The sequence below is a fragment of the Homo sapiens genome, chromosome 8, assembly GCF_000001405.40.
Source record: "Homo sapiens chromosome 8, GRCh38.p14 Primary Assembly".
NCBI lineage: Eukaryota > Metazoa > Chordata > Mammalia > Primates > Hominidae > Homo > Homo sapiens.
The window spans coordinates 136,526,835-136,545,360 of record NC_000008.11 but is presented as its reverse complement, the minus strand read 5'-3'; the positions used below and the strand labels follow the sequence as shown (position 1 = coordinate 136,545,360).

The 18,526-nt window shown below is 37.7% G+C and overlaps 1 long non-coding RNA gene across 1 annotated transcript in view; it reads right to left on the bottom strand.

The window, feature by feature from the left end:
- LINC02055 (long intergenic non-protein coding RNA 2055) overlaps positions 1-14,563 on the bottom strand; it is a 366,804-nt gene extending 352,241 nt beyond the window's left edge. Inside the window, exons 1-2 of the long non-coding RNA NR_147196.1 lie at positions 14,355-14,563; positions 8,302-8,383 (exon numbers count right to left, since the gene is read on the bottom strand). This is a non-coding gene — a long non-coding RNA (long intergenic non-protein coding RNA 2055). The remainder of the gene's footprint in view (positions 1-8,301; positions 8,384-14,354) is intronic.
- Between the last annotated feature and the right edge of the window lie 3,963 nt (positions 14,564-18,526).

Genomic DNA, 18,526 nt, shown 5'->3' with positions numbered 1-18,526 from the left:
TTGAGACAGAGTCTCACTCTGTCATCCAGGCTGAAGTGCAGAAGAGCTATCTCAGCTCACTGAAGCCTCTGCCTCCTGCATTCAAGTGATACTTTGACCTCAGCATCCCAAGTAGCTGGGATTACAGGCTCCCACCACGAAGCCCAACTAACTTTTGTATTGTTAGCAGATATGAGGTTTCACCATGTTGGCCAGGCTCGTCTTGAACTCCTGGCCTCAAGTGATCCACCCACCTCGGCCTCCCAGAGTGCTGGAATTACAGGTGTGAGCTACCGCGCCTGGTCAAAAATAATATTTTCTTCATGTCCCTGATTTGAAAATTGTTGGCAAGCACTCCCCTACTAGACTACAAGCTTATTAAGGCAGAACCTTGCTTATTCTTCTATTTTTATCTTTTAGAACATCACTATCCCTTAGTATTCATTAAATGTAGCAACAATTTATTTAAATAAAGGAAGAAACTAAGTTATAGAAATCATAAGACTTTCAGTTACATATATCTGAACATTTATTAAGGGGAAAAGGTAATTTATAATCTGAGAGACCTAAGTCTGGCTGCTGGCTCCCAGAAAAATGAAATCCAGTAGCTAAAATAGCAAGCAGGGGTTTTGTTTCTTTCTACTTCTCTGAATTCTGTTTAGCTGAGCTTGATTTTGTTTGGGCAGACTACCTCCATATGTCAGACAAAACAGTGAATGGCAAGCTAGGACTCACATTTTTCCAGTGTAACAATCCGAGTGGACAAAGCCTTCCTTCCCTGATAATTCAAGCAGAAAAACTCTGGGATGGGATCTAATTGGATCAAGGGTCTATTTTGGAATCAATCACTGTTGAGAGACAGAATGAAGACCCTGATTAAGTGGCTGGGGACATTCCTGTAGTTGGAGATGGGGCAGGTAGGACTGGCTCCTTTTGAACCACATAGAAACAGGGTTACACACAAAATAAATCACAAGTATTACTTTAAACACGAATAAGTGTTATCTACATTCATTGACACAGAATGAAACCCGATAGAATCATATCAAGAGAAAATATTCAGAAGTTGAGGGGTCGTAGGGAGGTAGAAAGGGAGGCTGTGGAAGAGAAGAGAAATATTAGATCAGAGAAGGAAAACTAATCATCTGTGGGTCTGTTAATGGGAATATTCTTCTAAATCTTGCCATTGTTTATTTTGCCCTAAGGATGTGGGATGATTGAAAATAAGAAAAGCTTTACCTTACTCCCCTACATTCACAGGTCATGACCATAATATTATTTTTTTTTAAATTTTAAGTGCTATACATTTTATTATTCTCTTTAAATATAATGAAGTTTGAGTCTCCTTGAATATTATAAAGGTTATTTCCAGAAAATATCATAAAAATCTGTGGCTAAGACTTCTCCTTCTGTGAATTTGGAGGAAATGTAATGTTGTCTATTCCTCCTGTTAAGTGCAACTAAAAACCCTGGATATCATATTTAAAATAAACATTAATTCCAAAGTTAGAGAGACAAAGATACAGCAGCTAGGGATTGGGGACTCAAGAAGTGGCACAGTGGAGAGTGCCCTGGTATTGCTTTTTACCTTACATGTTTGAGACTTGGAGCTGAAGAAGCTAGCCACCCAGAAACACCAAAGGCACACACAAAAGGAGGAAAGAACGAGAAAAAGCCTGTTCTCTTCAGCTAGAGGACCAGGGAAGGCAGTCTAGCAAGACAGAAAAGTTTCAGATAACAACCTTGCTAGTCCAGCCAAACACCACTGAAATAATTGTACCCACCGTCACTCATATCAACAAAGGCCCAGGGGAGCCTTAGACTTCCACATTTCCCAGGCAAAACTGAGCATCGACTAAACTTTAAAGCCTACTCAAGAATTAAGTCAAAATGAACTACAGAACTAAATTTACAACATGAAACTAAAACTTTTAGAAAAACATGTGGAGAAAATCCTCAAAAAGTTCTTAGACAACACCAAACTCATGATCCATAGAAGAAAAAAAACCGATGAATTAATTTCATCAAAATGAAAAAAATGTTAGCTCCGTGAAACAGCTTATTTGGAAGAGAAAAAGACAAACTACAGACTGGGAGAAAATATTTGCAAACCACATATCTGTAGTATCTCATCCAATTTAAAAATATTCTCAAAACCCAACAGTAAAAACAAAACAAAACAAATAAAAAAAACATTTCAATTATAAAATGGATGCAAAATATAAGCAGCCATTTCCCAGAAGAATGTCCAAGACTGCTTCAATAGAAGACAAGATTGGCTTTCATTTGTTTTTTAAATTGTGTTACTATGATAAATAAGCGATGACTACATTTATTATAAAACGGATTAGTCTCAGGAGGTTGTAATGAAGTAAAGTCAAAGAACTGTTTTTCTGATACATTTCTCCTTTGGGTTTTTAGCTTTAAAAGCCTATTCTGAGTATATCTCTATTTTAAAATGCTGTCTCATGAAACATAGTTACATATGCTCTTGAAAATATAAATCACTATTTCAAACTCTATGAAAGGCATCCACTTACTAATGCAGATCAAAACACGTCTCAGTATTTTAATATACAATTTTTATCAATCAGAAACATCTTTTATTTATGTTTACTTTTCTTTCAATGAAATAGAATTTTGGCCTCCCACAAATTAACATTTTGAGAGAGTAGAATATAGTCTAAAATGTGAAAAAAAAAATCAACAGTACATAGAGGCTCACAGATGAGGTTGAATTTAATTATTTTTATATTAAAAATATATGCATAAACGTATTTTAATTAATATCTTTTTTGTATAACCATTATTCATACAGTTTAAGTTTTAAAATTTAAAAAGTCTCTTTGTCTTGGATATGGGACCTGGATTCTACTTTCAATATATCTGCATTTATCAAGTCAGTCTATAGATCCCTGTTTTTTGTTTTGTTTTGTTTTGTTTTTAACCTGGAGCACTTAGATGGCCATTTAAAAAAATACTTTCCTTCTTAATTGTCCTCTCTCTACAAATCTTTTTACAAATTAAAAGGGACAACTTTTAAGTATTAACCACATCACATCTCTTACCTCTTGCTTAAAAAACTGTCTAGTCATTTCTTGTTACAAAGAAAATAAAACCTAAACCTCTGACAATGGTGTTCTGCTCAATATCACTAGCTCCCTGCCTGCCTCTCTGATCTGACATCAACCCCAACCACTCTCCTAGATCCTCTACAAACTTTGCATTGCTGTCCTTCTGCCTCATATGTCCTTTTCCCTAATCTTCTCATATTTGGGCTTCTCTGACTTTTCCAGCTCAACTGAAATATTACTTTTTCAGAGATACCTTTAGCATGTACATCCTAGTTGAAACCCTGGTCTTCACGCCCCATCAACATACTCCACTTCATACTATCAAATGAGTCTACTCAGTTGTGCCTGTGTTTGTTTTTCACAACATTACCGCATTTTAAATAATCTCATTTATGTATTATTTTTCATTTTTTCCAATCTGACCCCTCTCTCAAGAAAATATGCTTAATCAAGATCAGGGCAGAAATTTGGTCTTTTTGGCCCCTTTATTTTTATTACCTAGAACAGGGCTGGGATACCAGGAATAGAGGATATATGTGTTTAATGCATAAATGAATAAATGCATCACTAGATAATTATTATACAATTTTAAAAGCCACCGTTTACATAACTTAGAAGAGTTATGTAACCTCTGTGAGATATTTTTTTCCTGTCTAAATTGGATGGAATACATTTCTCAGAAACTCATAATATTAATTTCATATTTTAAATTCTGGAAACCACACTTATGATAGTTCTTTCCTGCCTTTCTTCCTAAAATCCCCATAGCTGGATTTTTTTAAATTTTTATTTTTTTATTTCAATAGGTTCTGGGGGAATAGGTGGTGTTTTGTTACGTGAGTAAGTGATAGAGTGCTGATTTCTGAGACTTTGGTGCACCCATCACCCGAGCAGTGTACACTGCACCCAATGTGTAGTCTTTTATCCCTCACTTGCCTTCCACTCTTTCCCCCCAAGTCCCCGAAGTCCATTGTATCATTCTTATGTCTTTGTGTTCTCATAGCTCAGCTCCCATTTATGAGTGAGCACACATGATGTTTGGGATTGGAGACCATTATTTTAAGTGAAGTAACTCAGGAATGGAGAGCCAAGCATAGCTGGATCTTAAGAAAAGTGAGGAAAAGGAGGAAGAAGAGGAAAAGGGAGTGGGGAGAGGAACAAGTAGCAGAAGGATTGGACGGAAACAAAGAGACAAGAAAGAGAAGAGAGAAGGGGAACGACAGGGAAAAAGCAAAAAAAAAAAAAAAGGAAATCCTCAAATGCTAAAACTTGAAGAACAAACCTAAATATAGTCAGATCACTGAGCATGTAAACATTAATTCATTTATTCAACCGTGTAGCATTAAATTAGGGGTGCTACCAAGTTTATGCCAGAGTTTTCACAAAATTTGGCAAATGTGCTCTTATAAATCACAAGGTTTTTTACTAAAAAGAGTTATTTTGAGGGGCAGGTTAGGTGATTTTTAAAAACACAAAGGAACAATAAATTGCTTATTTGGGAAACTCTGGCACCCCAGATATTGGTACCAAATATTGGTATATGCTGGCTTTTCACCATATAAATCCACAGAAATCAAGATACAGCAGGTACTATGAGTGCCAAATTTTACAGAGGGTCAGCATAGCTAGGGGTCCATATAACCTGGAGGTTGATTTTGGTTTCATGTTGATAGAAAAATAAATTAGTGATAAATTAAAGATGATAGAAGCCTTTCAGCCCAAAATACAACCTGTGTTAAATTTACTGCGTGAAACACAAATTGCAGAATCTCTGGTTATTTTGTGAACCTCTCTATCAAATCTGCATCCCATGAGACTCCTTGCCAGCTATAATCTTTTGGAGAAGGATCACTTTAGAATAGGCTGCTGCTAGATTTACCTGAGCTTAACATTTATTTGGAAATATTGATTACTCAAAATCTGAGTAGGCTGTCAATATGATTGTCTGTGGTTAATTTTATGTGCAAATAATCATGGCCAATGATGTCACAACATACATTTTAAAACATGATAAGGTTTGTTCCTTAGCCATGAGCCTTTCTGCTTGGTTCATTCCTTCTTTTTATTTTTTTCTTCTATGGTATAAGGACATTTGGAAAAATAAACTCAAATGAAAAACAAACTTACTTAGTGCAGTTAATCCCAAAATCTAGCAAGAAGTATTGAAAGAATGTTGGATTTTTTGAGAAAGATTTTGGGACACATTTTTAACTTTGACTATACTGGCTGTTTTGCAGTGATCCCTTACGATTGTTTAAATTTTCTACATGAAAGCAGTTGTTTGATTTTCAACCACACAGGCTCCAAATAACACTCTATGAACTAAGAATACATAGTACAAGCACACAGCAAATTCCTTAGCGTTGTGACATGTGTCCTATATTGTCCTGCAGAGTGGCATATTATAATTTGAGTTTATTTCTTCTTGTATGAAGTGTGTATTCCATTTGCTTGATATAATCCCGACTTATACTCCTTGTCCATACATATTTATTAATAGCTCACCTTGGTACAATGAAAAAGTCTGAATATGAAAGGTAAAAGATATTTACCTTTCTATTGGTCGGACTTTGCTGACTGTATCAAGAAGGGAGTGGCACACACCACCATTCTAAAGGTAACCTATAATTTTGCCTAAGACTCTAGCCTTGGCCATTTCATGGTCTGAGTCTAGAGATAAAGCAAGCAATATTTAGACAAAATCATTTGTCAGTGTGGAAGAGCAGTCATAGGCTTTTCAGACGGCAATGGACAGACTGTTCTGGCAGCTAAATCCCCTCCACTAAGCTGATACCACATTTCAGATTCTCATACAACAACATTCTATTTCTGATACTGAATTCTATATTAGTTAGTAATTAAGCTCAGCTACATTTAATAGACTATCCAGTGAAAAATGGCTTACACAAAGATGGGGCAATGTTTACAAGTATCAAAAGAGGCAGAGCAAGCAATATTATCATTCCACTCTAATACAGCAATTTTCTAAGTATTCATGTGAACACAGGAATCTCCAAGACCCTGATGGATGTTCAATGTCTACACCATTTATATAATAATACCATAATTGTTACTTGCCTTTTTGCAAGGTGTGGACACTGGCATTAATGACACAAAAGAAACAGTAGTGAAAACTGTTGGCATTTTAGTACAAATCAAGGCAATGGAACCTTCTATTCTAGTAGACATTTATCTCTTCATTGTCACACAATTGAAGGCAAAAAGCCTGTTTCACTTTAAAATGCCTTTGATGAGGCAATAAAGGTACTATGTTTGTCAAATTTTGAGTTGAATCCATCTATTTTTAATATTTTATGTGACAAAATGGGAGGACATATAAAGCATTTTGGATGCATACCTAAGTAAAATGCTTGCCTCAAAAACAAAACACTTGTGCTTGTTTGAGTTGCAAGCAGATGAGCTGCTTTTTTCATGAAATACTATTTTTACTTGAAATACAGGACTGAGAGACAAACTATCTATGTTCAGAAAAGTGTATGGCAGGTATTTTTTCAATAATAAACTAAGTGCATTTGTCTCTTCAAATAAAACAGTTGACATCATGTATTGTCAATTATAATATATGAGGTTACAAATGAAAACTGGAATTTTGGAGAAGTTGTTATCTCCCAATGTGAGATTGGCTGTTTTTCAAAAGTTAAAGACTTTCTTATTAAAATATTGGCGATATTAACAAATGGGTTTTGTATGTTTTATAATTAACTATGCTAGCAGTTGGAAAGTCTGCATAAATCAGTGAGCTAATGTTTTTAAATAATTAGTGCATGATGTTACAAAATCATGCATGGGTAAAAGATCAACTCAAAGTGCAAGACAGATCAATAGATATTTACATAACCCAGTAAAGAATATTTTATATGAATTTTAAACTCCACATTGAAACTCACCTGTAAGAAACTTAACACTTATCAGTTTGGTTTATTATCAGAGAATAAAATCCACAATCATCTTAAAAGGTTATTAAAGTACACTTTCTTTCTCAACTACTTATGCCTTATCCGTGCAAGAACAGATTTTTCCTGTATACTTAAATTTTTAGAAAGCTCATAACAGATTGATGCAGAAGCAAATATGAAAATCAAGCTGTCTACTTTCATACCAGGCCTTACAGTCTTTTTTAAAAAAGTAAAGTAATGCCATTTTTCTCTCGAAATACATTGGTTTTTGAAAAATATAAACATGAAAAATACATTTTGAAAAATATAAACAAATATATGCAATTCAAGTTAAACTATAATGTGATTAATATAGTGTTTTTCAAAAAAGGAACTACTGTGGCTCAAGCCTGTAACCCCAACACTTTGGGAGGCCGAGGCGGGCAGATCACAACGTTAGGAGATTGAGACCTTCCTGGCTAACATGGTGAAATCCCGTCTCTACTAAAAATACAAAAAAATTAGTGGGGCGTGGTGGCGGGCGCCTGTAGTCTCAGCTACTCAGGAGGCTGAGGCAGGAGAATGGGGTGAACCCAAGAGGCGGAGCTTGCAGTGATCCGAGATTGTGCCACTGCACTTCCAGCCTGGGTGACAGAGCAAGACTCCATCAAAAAAAAAAAAAAAAAAAAGGAACTACTAATTATTTCTTAATTTTAATTTTAATGTGCTAATTTTCAACTGATACAACTTATATAATCATAAACTCTCTTGGGTATTCAGTAAAGAAATTTTGGACCAAAATATTTGAGGAACACTATTCTACTATAAGGCACATGGTTACAATTTAGAACATATGACCTTATTGTTTCTATGAATACACAAGTAATGAATCACTGAAACAAAAATGATTAAATGAGAAAAATGATACTTGGATATGTATTGCTACATCCTTATTTAATATACACGAAGACAGAAGACTAAACAACCACCACCAAAATAAGTCAGGCATACATATATGGAGAGAGGCAAAGAGACAGAGATTTCTTAGAAGAATTATGGAGCATAAGAAGCCTCATGAGCTGCCATCTGCAAGCTGGAAAACCAGAAAAGCCTGTCTTGTAATTTAGTCTGAGTCTGAAGGCCTAAGAACCAGATTTTAAAAATTTGTCAAAAGTCAAACGTGTTAAGGGATTCAGGCAAAGGGTCATCAGATTTGCCCAGTTTCCCAGATGTATATTTTTAAAAATTAGAGAAAGGAAAAGTTGTGGCACAATAACATATCTATATTGCCTATATGCAACAGCTTTGCAAAAATTAATGTAGGATGTCAAAAAGGTTTTAAAAACACTTACAGTTTCTGACTCGGTAATCTCAGTTGTAAGATTCCAGCATGCTCCAAATATGACTCAGTAGTAAATCCAAACTCCAGCAAACCTAAAAACATGTAAAACTTCATCATAACATTATTTATAATAGAGAGACACTGGAAACAATGATATATCTAAGAATACCATGGTACATGTGCACAACGGGATGTTCTATAGCCAGAAAAATAACATTTGTAAAGTGACTTTTATATAGAAAAACATTTATTAAGTACAAAATAGCCATACCTGAGGTATTAGTTACAGTTCTCTAGAGGGACAGAACTGAGTCTAAAGGCCAAAAAACCAGGAGCATTGACGGCCGAGGGTAGGAGAAAATGAATGCCCCATCTCAAGCAGAGAGAGCAAATTTGCCCTTCATCTACGTTTGTTTTATCTTTGCCCTCAATGGATTGAATGGTGTCCACTTACTTTGGAGAGAATAAACTTTATTCAGTCTACTGATTCAAATACTAATCTCATTTGAAATGCCCTCATAGACATATCCAGAAATCATGTTTTACCAGCTATTTGGGTATTGTTGACAAAAAGAGTCAAACTCTGTAAAATATTTTAAGAGATTTATTCTGAGCCAAAGATGAGTGACCATGGCCCTTGACACAGCCCTCGGGAAGTCCTGAGAACACGTGCCCAAGGTGATCAGGGTGAAGCTTGGTTTTAGACATTTTAGGGAGGCATGAGACATCAATGAAATACATTTAAGAAATACATTGGTTCACTTCAGAAAGGCAGGACCACTCAAAGTGGGGGACTTCCAGGCAATAGGTAAATTTAAACATTTTCTGATTGGCAATTGGCTGTGTTTGTTTAAAGTCCTGGGATCAATAGAAAGGAAATGTTCAGATTAAGATAAAAGACTGTGGAGACCAGGGTTCTTTTGAAGCCTTATAGTGGCTGCCCTTAGAGACAATGGATGAAAAATATTTCCTCTTTACACCTTTAAAAGGCACTAGACTCTTAATATTTTCAGGATTGGGGGGGCCTGGAAGAAAAAGATCTAGCTATGTTAATGGAGATTCTTTACAGATGTACGTTTTCCCCCATAAAGGACAGCTTTGCAGGACCATGTCAGAATATGGCAAAGAAACATGTTTTGGGCTAAAATATTTTGACTTTCTTCTTTGTCACATAATGTTATGCCAGAGTCATATTGGAAAGTATGACATGCTATATAGGGTTAAATAAAAACCATCTGATGAGAATTTATGGTTTGTAAGGCATGGCTCCCCAGACCCCTTAGATAGGAATTTGGGCAAGATAAAAAAAATAAGAGCTTAGTTCTCAGTATCCTTCAGCCCAGTCAAGTTGACACATAAAATGAATTATCACAGTATCTTAAAATGTTTTAATAACATGGGGAAAAAATAAATCAGGAGAAAAATAATATGTATCAGCAAAAGGAGGATTGCAATTGGAGATGATCAGGCTTCATCTCATTGAGGAGATGGCATTTCAGCAAAAGTGTGGAGAGGATGAGGAAGAAAACTACGTAGCTATCTAGAGAAAGTATTAATTCACTTGACATATTACAAAATGGCATAGTGGCTCAGAATGAGGAGTAGTAAAAATGAGGCCAGAGAAATAATGAATAAGCTTGATAGATTATATAGGACATTTTAGAAACCTCTAAAAACTTTAGCTTTTGCTTTGCACAAAAAGAGATACAGTGGTAGGTTTCCAACAACAAAATCCCCTTAAAAAATTATTTGAATGTTATGTCAATAATAGATCATGGAAATTCTGGAAGAGAGGAAAAATAGAGACCAGTTAGGAAGTATTACAATAATTTAGAAGAGATATGATGGTGTAAATCAAAAAGTATCTGAGACAGGTCTCAATCAGTTTAGAAGTTTATTTTGCCAAGGTTAAGGACATGCCTGTGACAAAGTGTCAGATGACCCTGAGAATGTGCGCTCAAGGTGGTTGGGCTAGAGCTTGGTTTTATACATTTTAGGAGGACTTAAGACATCAATGAATACATGTACATTTGTTCAGTCCAGAAATGCAACACAACTCAAAGTAGGGTGGGAGTGGCTGGGGGTGGAGAGCTTCCAGGTCATAGGTGGATTCAAAGACTTATCTGATTGTCAGTTGCTTGAAAGAGATGACTAAATACCTAGAATCAATAGAAGGGAGTGTCTGGGTTAAGATAAGGGGTTGTGGAGATAAAGGTTTTTATTATGCAGATGAAGTATCCAGGTAGCAGGCTTCTGAGGGAATATAATGTAAATGTTTTTTATCAGACTTAAAAACCTGCAAGTGGCTGGGTGTGGTGGCTCACGCCTATAATCCCAAAACTTTGGGAGGCCAAGGCGGGTGGATCACGAGGTCAGGAGTTTGAGACCAGCCTGACCAACATGGTGAAGCCCTGTCTCTACTAAAATACAAAAATTAGCTGGGTGTGGTGGCATGCACTTGTAGTCCCAGCTACTCAGGAGGCTGAGGCAAGAGAATGGTGTGAACCCAGGAGGCAGAGGTTGCAGTGAGCTGAGATCATGCCACTGCACTCCAGCCTGGGCAATAGAGCAAGACTCCATCTCAAAAAAAAAAAAATTGCCAGACTCTTAGTTAATTCTCTTCTGCATCATTAAAAAATACCTATAAATGTAAGGGGATTCTCCAGAGATTGTAGATTTTTTTCCACAAGAAACAACTTTACACGATTATTTCAAAAGATGTCAAAAAATATATTTTGGGGTAAAATATTTTTATTTCTTCTAGGGCCTGCTACCTGTCATGTTGGTATCTTATTGCTACAAACAGTCTAGTTTGTCAATCTTAAGGTTTCTGTTTTAATGTTAAATGCTAGTCAACTGTGCCTGAACTCCAAAGGGAAGAGAGTATGAGGCATGTCTGACCCCCATTTCCCATTATGGCTAAACTAGTTTTTCAGGTTAACTTAGGAATGCCCTTAGCCAAGAAGGGGTTCATGCAATTGGGTGGGAGACTTGGAATTTCATTTTTGGTATACAATGGTGACTTTATAATATCAGTAGAGTTGATTAGAAATAAATAGTGAGGAGTAAAAATGGTTACAGTCATTAAACATAGGGTATGTAAGAAAAAGAAGACACATTGACAATTTGAATGATGTAGTAATTTGAGTGACCATGTGATATGGTTTGGCTGTGTCCCCACCCAAATCGTATCTCCCAGAATTCCCATGTGCTGTGGGAGGGACCCAGTGGGAGGTAATTGAATCATGGGGGCTGGTCTTTCCAGTGCTATTCTTGTGATAGTGAATAAGTCTCATGAGATCTGATGGGTTTATTGGGGGTTTTTGCTTTTGCTTTTTCCTCATTTTCTCTTGCTGCCACCATGTAAGAAGTGCCTTTCACCTCCCGCCATGATTCTGAGGCCTCCCCAGCCACGTGGAACTGTAAGTCCAATTAAACCTCTTTTTCTTCCCAGTCTCTGGTATGTCTTTATCAACAGCATGAAAGAAGATTAATAAACCATGGGAAAATGGGTAGAATTGAGAATACTCAATTGCATTTATTGAGTTGGTGAATACTATATTCGAAAAGAATGAATCTAGAATTTAGTTTTGGACATATTGAGTTTTAAGTGTCTGTTAAATGAAGATTTGAAGATATTGGCAGTTCTGTGGTCAATTCAAGGACGGAAATAGAAATTTGGGATAATCACCATATATATATTTAGTTTCTTAAAAGTATGATACCAGTGAAATCATCACAGAAATGAAACTCATAGAAGACTAAATGTTCAAGGTATAATGCCTTAGGGCTCTCCAGAATTCAGAATTCACGCTAAACAAAATAAACACCTGAAAGAAATAAAGGAATTTCCAGTATGCCGAACTGAAAACTAGATGAATATGGTGTCTTGGAAGTCAAGTGATAAAAGAATTTTAACAAGCAAAGGGTAATCAGCTGTGTCAAATGATGTTGATAAGTCAACTTAGATTAGAATTTACAATAGTCATTGTATTTAGAAAGGTGAAGGTAATTGAGTTGTTTCAGTGGAGTGGTCTGAAGAGTGAATGATACAGATTTAAGAGGATATAGTAGCAAAAGAGCAGAAAACAGAACACATTTACATACATTTTGAAAATGTTTTTCTGTGAACTCGGTAGGCAAAAGACAAACTGAGGGACAGAGGTAAAGACAAGATAAGGAAAATTATCTTATAATAGAAGAACAACATTATCAGATACCATTTATAATCTGCCTCAGATACCCTCAGTCTTACCTATCTCTGGGGACCCTGGCTGCTTGCTTTGCCCAATGGCCATACAGATTAACATTACACAGATACCACCCAGCTGTGCCACAAGGGGCATCTCAAGTAGTTTTGCTGCCTAAGCCTTCCATTTAGATTTCCAATTCTAGGGTTACTTCAGATCCAGAAAGCACAACATATGCAAAAACTTATTTGGCTTCTTTTGTTGAAAGTGAAAGAACACTGAAGTTCAGAGAATATTTGTGAGATGAACTTTGACTATGGTAGAATATGAAACCTTTACTGCTGCTCAGATGAACTATTTGGGGAGTATTATTACCTAACTGTTTTACAGTGAGTTAAATTATTCTGTACACATTCGCTGTACTTAATTTCTGTAGTATGCAAATACATATTGAGATAGAGGTACTTAGCATCTGACAGAATAATCATTTATTTCTTTACCTTCAGTGTAAGGACCATTATAGTAGGATACGGAAAGTAATCCCTGAGACAGCTCTCCCCCACCCTATATAGTAAACCAGAAGCAAAAATACATCAGAAGAGAAATTTAAAAGATTAGCACCATCCTCAAAAAATGGAAAGATAAATGATGTCATTTTCCCATTTAATTCCCTCATCTAGACTCTGAAAATAATTATAATGATTAATAATAAAATTAGATGGTTCCTGACAAGTATTTATGGAATATTAAAAAATTAATCCAGTAGTAGTAGCATTAATTGCAGTTCCATGGTTAAATGTGCTTTCATTTTGTAATAGATCAACACTGCTTCTCATACTTACTGTACAGCTAATGATCTCAAGCCCCACTGGTTGAGAAAGTAAAAATGCTTTGCCTTTTCAGAGCAAAGATAGCAGTACCCCTTAACAGTCTTGCCACAGGACCGTGTCAAATTTCTTGTTCTCTATCATAATGCAGTCCTCCGGGACTTTATGCAAAATGTAAAATTGGTCCAGTGTATTGAAGGCAATAGGCCAATTGAACCTACTAATCAAAAAGTGTCAAAGACCCTAGACCCTTTCAGTAAGACACACACGCACCATAGGGTGAAAGATAAACCACTCAAAGATTATGAATCGTATCACACTAATGAACTTTTCTGGAGCATGCTGGCCGGCACAGCCTAAGATAAAGAGCAATATGGTATATCTCATACCTTCTAACAATAAAATAGGGCACAGCTATTCGTGGTCATCTTTCTATGCGGAGGCAGCATACATCAGATTTAGTAATACTTCTACCAAGTAACTTAGTGGTTTGACAGTTGCATTTTGGGCCCAGCACTAGAAGAATGTGTTCTGCTACACATTTATGATCACATATTAACTCCTCTGACACTTGGGAAAACTGACCAAGAAACCTGGTGAAGCTAGAAATCTTCAAGGTGAATAAGCATGCCACATGGCATCTCTGGCAAGTCCTGACATGAAAGTCACACGAAGTTGCACAGATTTCTGAGGTAAGCCCATGCATTCTCCTAGAAATAACTAGCATCTCTTTTAAAAGAATCAGCACAGACTGAAATTTGGAAAATGTAGCTCCAATCTGACTGGAACCTGCCCTAGAACTGCATATTGTCAAATCTGCTAAGTCATAAATTAGAGCAGGCACAGCAATTATTTTACAGTGGCCACATACCTTGAGGATAGAGCCAGGGACAAACATATGGCGCAACTAAACACATAAACAAATGGCTCAGAATCTCACATTTCCTCTCTTGGTTCCACAGACGCTTCTCTCTCCACTGAAACCTCTGTCTTTGTGGGGGTTTCTATACAACCAGCTGACAGATTAGAAAAGAACTCAGGCCTACCTGGTTCACAAATAGATTGGCAATCTATATGAGTGAGAGGTGACAGCGTGCTGGCAGTCCTCACAGCCCTCGCTCGCTCTGGGCGCCTCCTCTGCCTGGGCTCCCACTTTGGCGGCGCTTGAGCAGCCCTTCAGCCCGCCACTGCACTGTAGGAGCCCCTTTCTGGGCTGGCGAAGGCCGCAGCCGGCTCCCTCAGCTTGTGGGGAGGTGTGGAGGGAGAGGCGCGGGCCGGAACCGGGGCTGCGCGCGGTGCTTCCGGGCCAGCGCGAGTTCCGGGTGGGCGTAGGCTCGGCGGGCCCGCACTCGGAGCGGCCTGCCGGCCCCGCCAGCCCCAGGCAGTGAGGGGCTTAGCACCTGGGCCAGCAGCTGCTGTGCTTAATTTCTCGCCCGTCCTTAGCTGCCTTCCCGCGGGGCAGGGCTCCGGACCTGCAGCCCAGCCGTGCCTGAGCCTCCCCCCACCTCCATGGGCTCCTGTGCGACCCGAGCCTCCCCGACGAGCGCCGCCCCCTGCTCCACGGCGCCCAGTCCCATCTACCTCCCAAGGGCTGAGGAGTGCGGGCGCACGGCGCGGGACTGGCAGGCAGCTCCACCTGCGGCCTCAGTGTAGGATCCACTGGGTGAAGCCAGCTGGGCTCCTGAGTCTGGTGGGGACTTGGAGAACCTTTATGTCTAGCTAAGGGATTGTAAATACACCAATTGGCACTCTGTATCTAGCTCAAGGTTTGTAAACACACCACTTGAGAGCTTCTGCTGCTATGGAGGGGCTGGAAAATGAGGTGGGCAGGAAGAACAATGAGTCAGCCACCCTTCTACCCTACTCAAGTCTTGTTCAATTGACACACAGACAGAGTGGCCATGGTGGCCAGGATGGAGGTTTTATGGCAGCTCTTAACATAGCTTTTCTCACCAAGACTGACCTAGTGGATGTCACTGCTAAATGCACAGTCTGCTAGCAGCAAACACAGTATCTGAGTCTTTACTATGACATTAGCCCTCAGGGTGGTCTAGGTCTATTTCATAGAAACATTCTGCCCATTTGCAGAGACTGCATACTTCATAGCGCACCTCTGAAGATGTTCTTGGAAAAGATGTAATCAGTTGAGTTTGTCATAAAAGATGTAGCCAGTTTGCTAATATCTTCCCTCATATTTCTATTCCATATTTTTCTCTGCATTTCTTCCTTTTGTTCACCTCCTTCTCTTTTCCATGGAACTGTAACCAAAAAAAAAATCCACTAAGGATTAGAGAATTGCTTTACTTCAGATCCTATTTTCAAGGGAACGTGAACTCAGGTGAATAGCATATATTTTTAGGCTAATAGGAAGCATCTTGTGAGGTTGAGAAAATGGTGATGTGTTAGAGGTGTACATGTAATCATGGACTAATATCTTAAAAAGAAGACATAAGGTCTAATACACAGGTGGAGAATATTTAAACAGGAAAATTCCAAGATCTGCTCTGCAATGATAAAATTTGAAATCATATAAATTCCTGTAAGCTGCATTATCTTCAAATTAATCTTCTGTAAAATATTGATGAAAGTGGTGAGACAATAATAGTATTAATACATTTGTGTCAGAAATTGTTGAGAGGAGCTCATAAATTTGAAGGTGATTAGTAGAACAGAGTGAATTACAATCATTGATGTGCCATAGTACCTGTGTGTCATTTAGGATGTATTTGGCTGCATATATGCATATATATATGCATATACATGTGTGTGTATATGTAAGTGTGTGTGTGTGTATATATATATATATATATATATGGAGCTGAAGCAAGAGTTACAATGGTAGGAATAAAGATTTTAACTTCAGTTATGTAAAGGAAAATCTGGAAATAGTTCATTCGTGTTTGATTAGATCAATAAACAACAATGGGATGACATTTCACACCTATTAGAATGCCTAAAATTAAAAAAGCACTGAGAACTGCAAATGCTGGCAAGAACATGAAACAACAGAAACTCTTATTTATTTCTGGTAGTAATCCCAAATGGTACAACCACTTTGGAAGAGAGTTTGGCAGCCATTTCTTACAAAACTAAACATACTCTTATCATACAATCCAGCAATCATGTTACCCAAATGAGTTAAAAACTTATGTCCACATAAAACATACAGACAGATATTTATAGTAGCTTTATTCAAAATTGCCAAAACTTGAAAACAACAAAGATGTCTTTCAGTAGGTGAATGGATAAATAAACTGTGGTACATCCAGACAATTAAATATTATTCAGTGCTAAAAGAAAATGAGCAATCAAGCCATGAAAAGACATGGGGGAAGCTTACATGCATATTCCTCAGTGACAGAAGCCAATATGAAAAAGCTACATAGTGTATGATTTCAAATACATGACATTCTTGGAATGGCAAATTATGGGAACAGTAAAAGGATCAGTGGTTGCCAGTTGTTTGGAGAGAAGGTGGTATGAACAAGGGGAGCATCGAGGACTCTTATGGCCATGGGACTATTCTATATAATAGTGTAATAACAGATACATGCAATTATACATTTGTCCAAACCTATAAAATATATAACACCAAGAGTGAATCCTAATGTAAACTATGGCATTTGGGTGATAACAATGTGTCAATGTAGGTTCATAAATGATAATAAACGTACACTTTGGTGTAAAATGTTGATAGTGGAAGAGGCTATGTGTTCGTAGGGGCAAGAGGTATAAGAGAACTCTCTGTACTTTCCACTGAATTTTACTGTGAACCTAAAAGTCTTCTAAAAACGAAGTCTGAGACTGAGTGTGGTGGCTTACGTCTGTAGTCTCAGCACACTGGGAGGCCGAGGTGGGCGGATCCCTTGAGCTCAGAAGTTCAAGGCCAGCCTGGGCAACATGGTGGAAGCCTGTCTCTACAAAAAAAAAAAAAAAAAAATTTAGCTGGGTGTGGGGATGTGCATTTGTGGTCCCAGCTACTCTAGAGGCTGAGGTGGGAGGATTGCCTGAGCCTGGGAGGCAGAAGTTGCAGTGAGCTGTAAACACGCCAATGCACTCCAGCCTGGGTGATAGAGTGAAACCGTGTCTCAAAATAAACAAATAAATAAATAAATATAAAGTCTGTTTTCACTAATTTAATTAACATTCCCAAGGCAGGAATAAAGTGTAAAGGTACTTTGTGTTGCTGTTGTTGTTTGGCTCTCTTCTCTATTAATCTGCAAAGGAAATATTTTGCATAGGCTTCTAGTAGAATTCCTCTTAAAGTCTATGGGCCAGAATAGACGCCACCCAGTCAAGTTCCTATGAGAGATGAACTGAATCACAATAAGTGGCCCATCTTCCCATTCAGACTTGAGCAAAGTGAAGCTTCCCTTCACAGAAGGAGATGGCTGAGAGAGCAGCAAGCAGTAGAATCAGCCAGGAAATAATTCTAGTTTTATTCTTGCCTTGACATAGCTATGGTTCCTAAAAAGTGTGGTAGGAGCCATTTAGGACCTTACAGACTTAGGTGTCTGCAAATAATGTAGTTTGATGGTTAATTTTATGTGCCAACTTGGCTGGGCCATGGGATTGCTAGATATTTATTTAATAATATTTATTTTTATGTCTGTGAAGATGTAGCTGGATGAAATTATCATTTCAGTCAACAGATTCAGTAAAACAGAATGTTCTACCCTGTGAGTTAGCCTCATATAATCCACTGAACATGTGAATGGACTATAAGGCTAAGTAAGAAACAGTTCAATCTCTTTGCCTGATGGTCTTCAAGCTGGAACAAGTTTGCTTCAGCTTTTGGATTTGAACTTGAAGTTGAATTTACACCATTGGCTCTCCTAGTTATCTGGCCAGCAGACTCAGACTAGAAGTATATCACTGGCTCTCCTGGATCTCCAAGCTTTGCTGACTACAGATCTTAGACTTCTCAGCCTTCATAATCATATGAGCTAATTCCTTATTATATCTGTGTGTGTGTGTGTGTGTGTGTGTGTGTGTGTGTGTGTGTACCAACAGCTATAAAAGTCTTAACTGATTTCAATTATCAGCTCTAAAGTCAAAAGTATTTTTCATTCATAGTACTTTGAATATATTTTTCATGTGATAAGTATATGAGTTTTGTGAAGGCTAGGGATAGAATATTATAGACTGAATGTTTGTGTTCCTCCAACATTTATATTTTGAAGCCCTAACCCCCAGTGAAATGGTACTTGGAGACAGG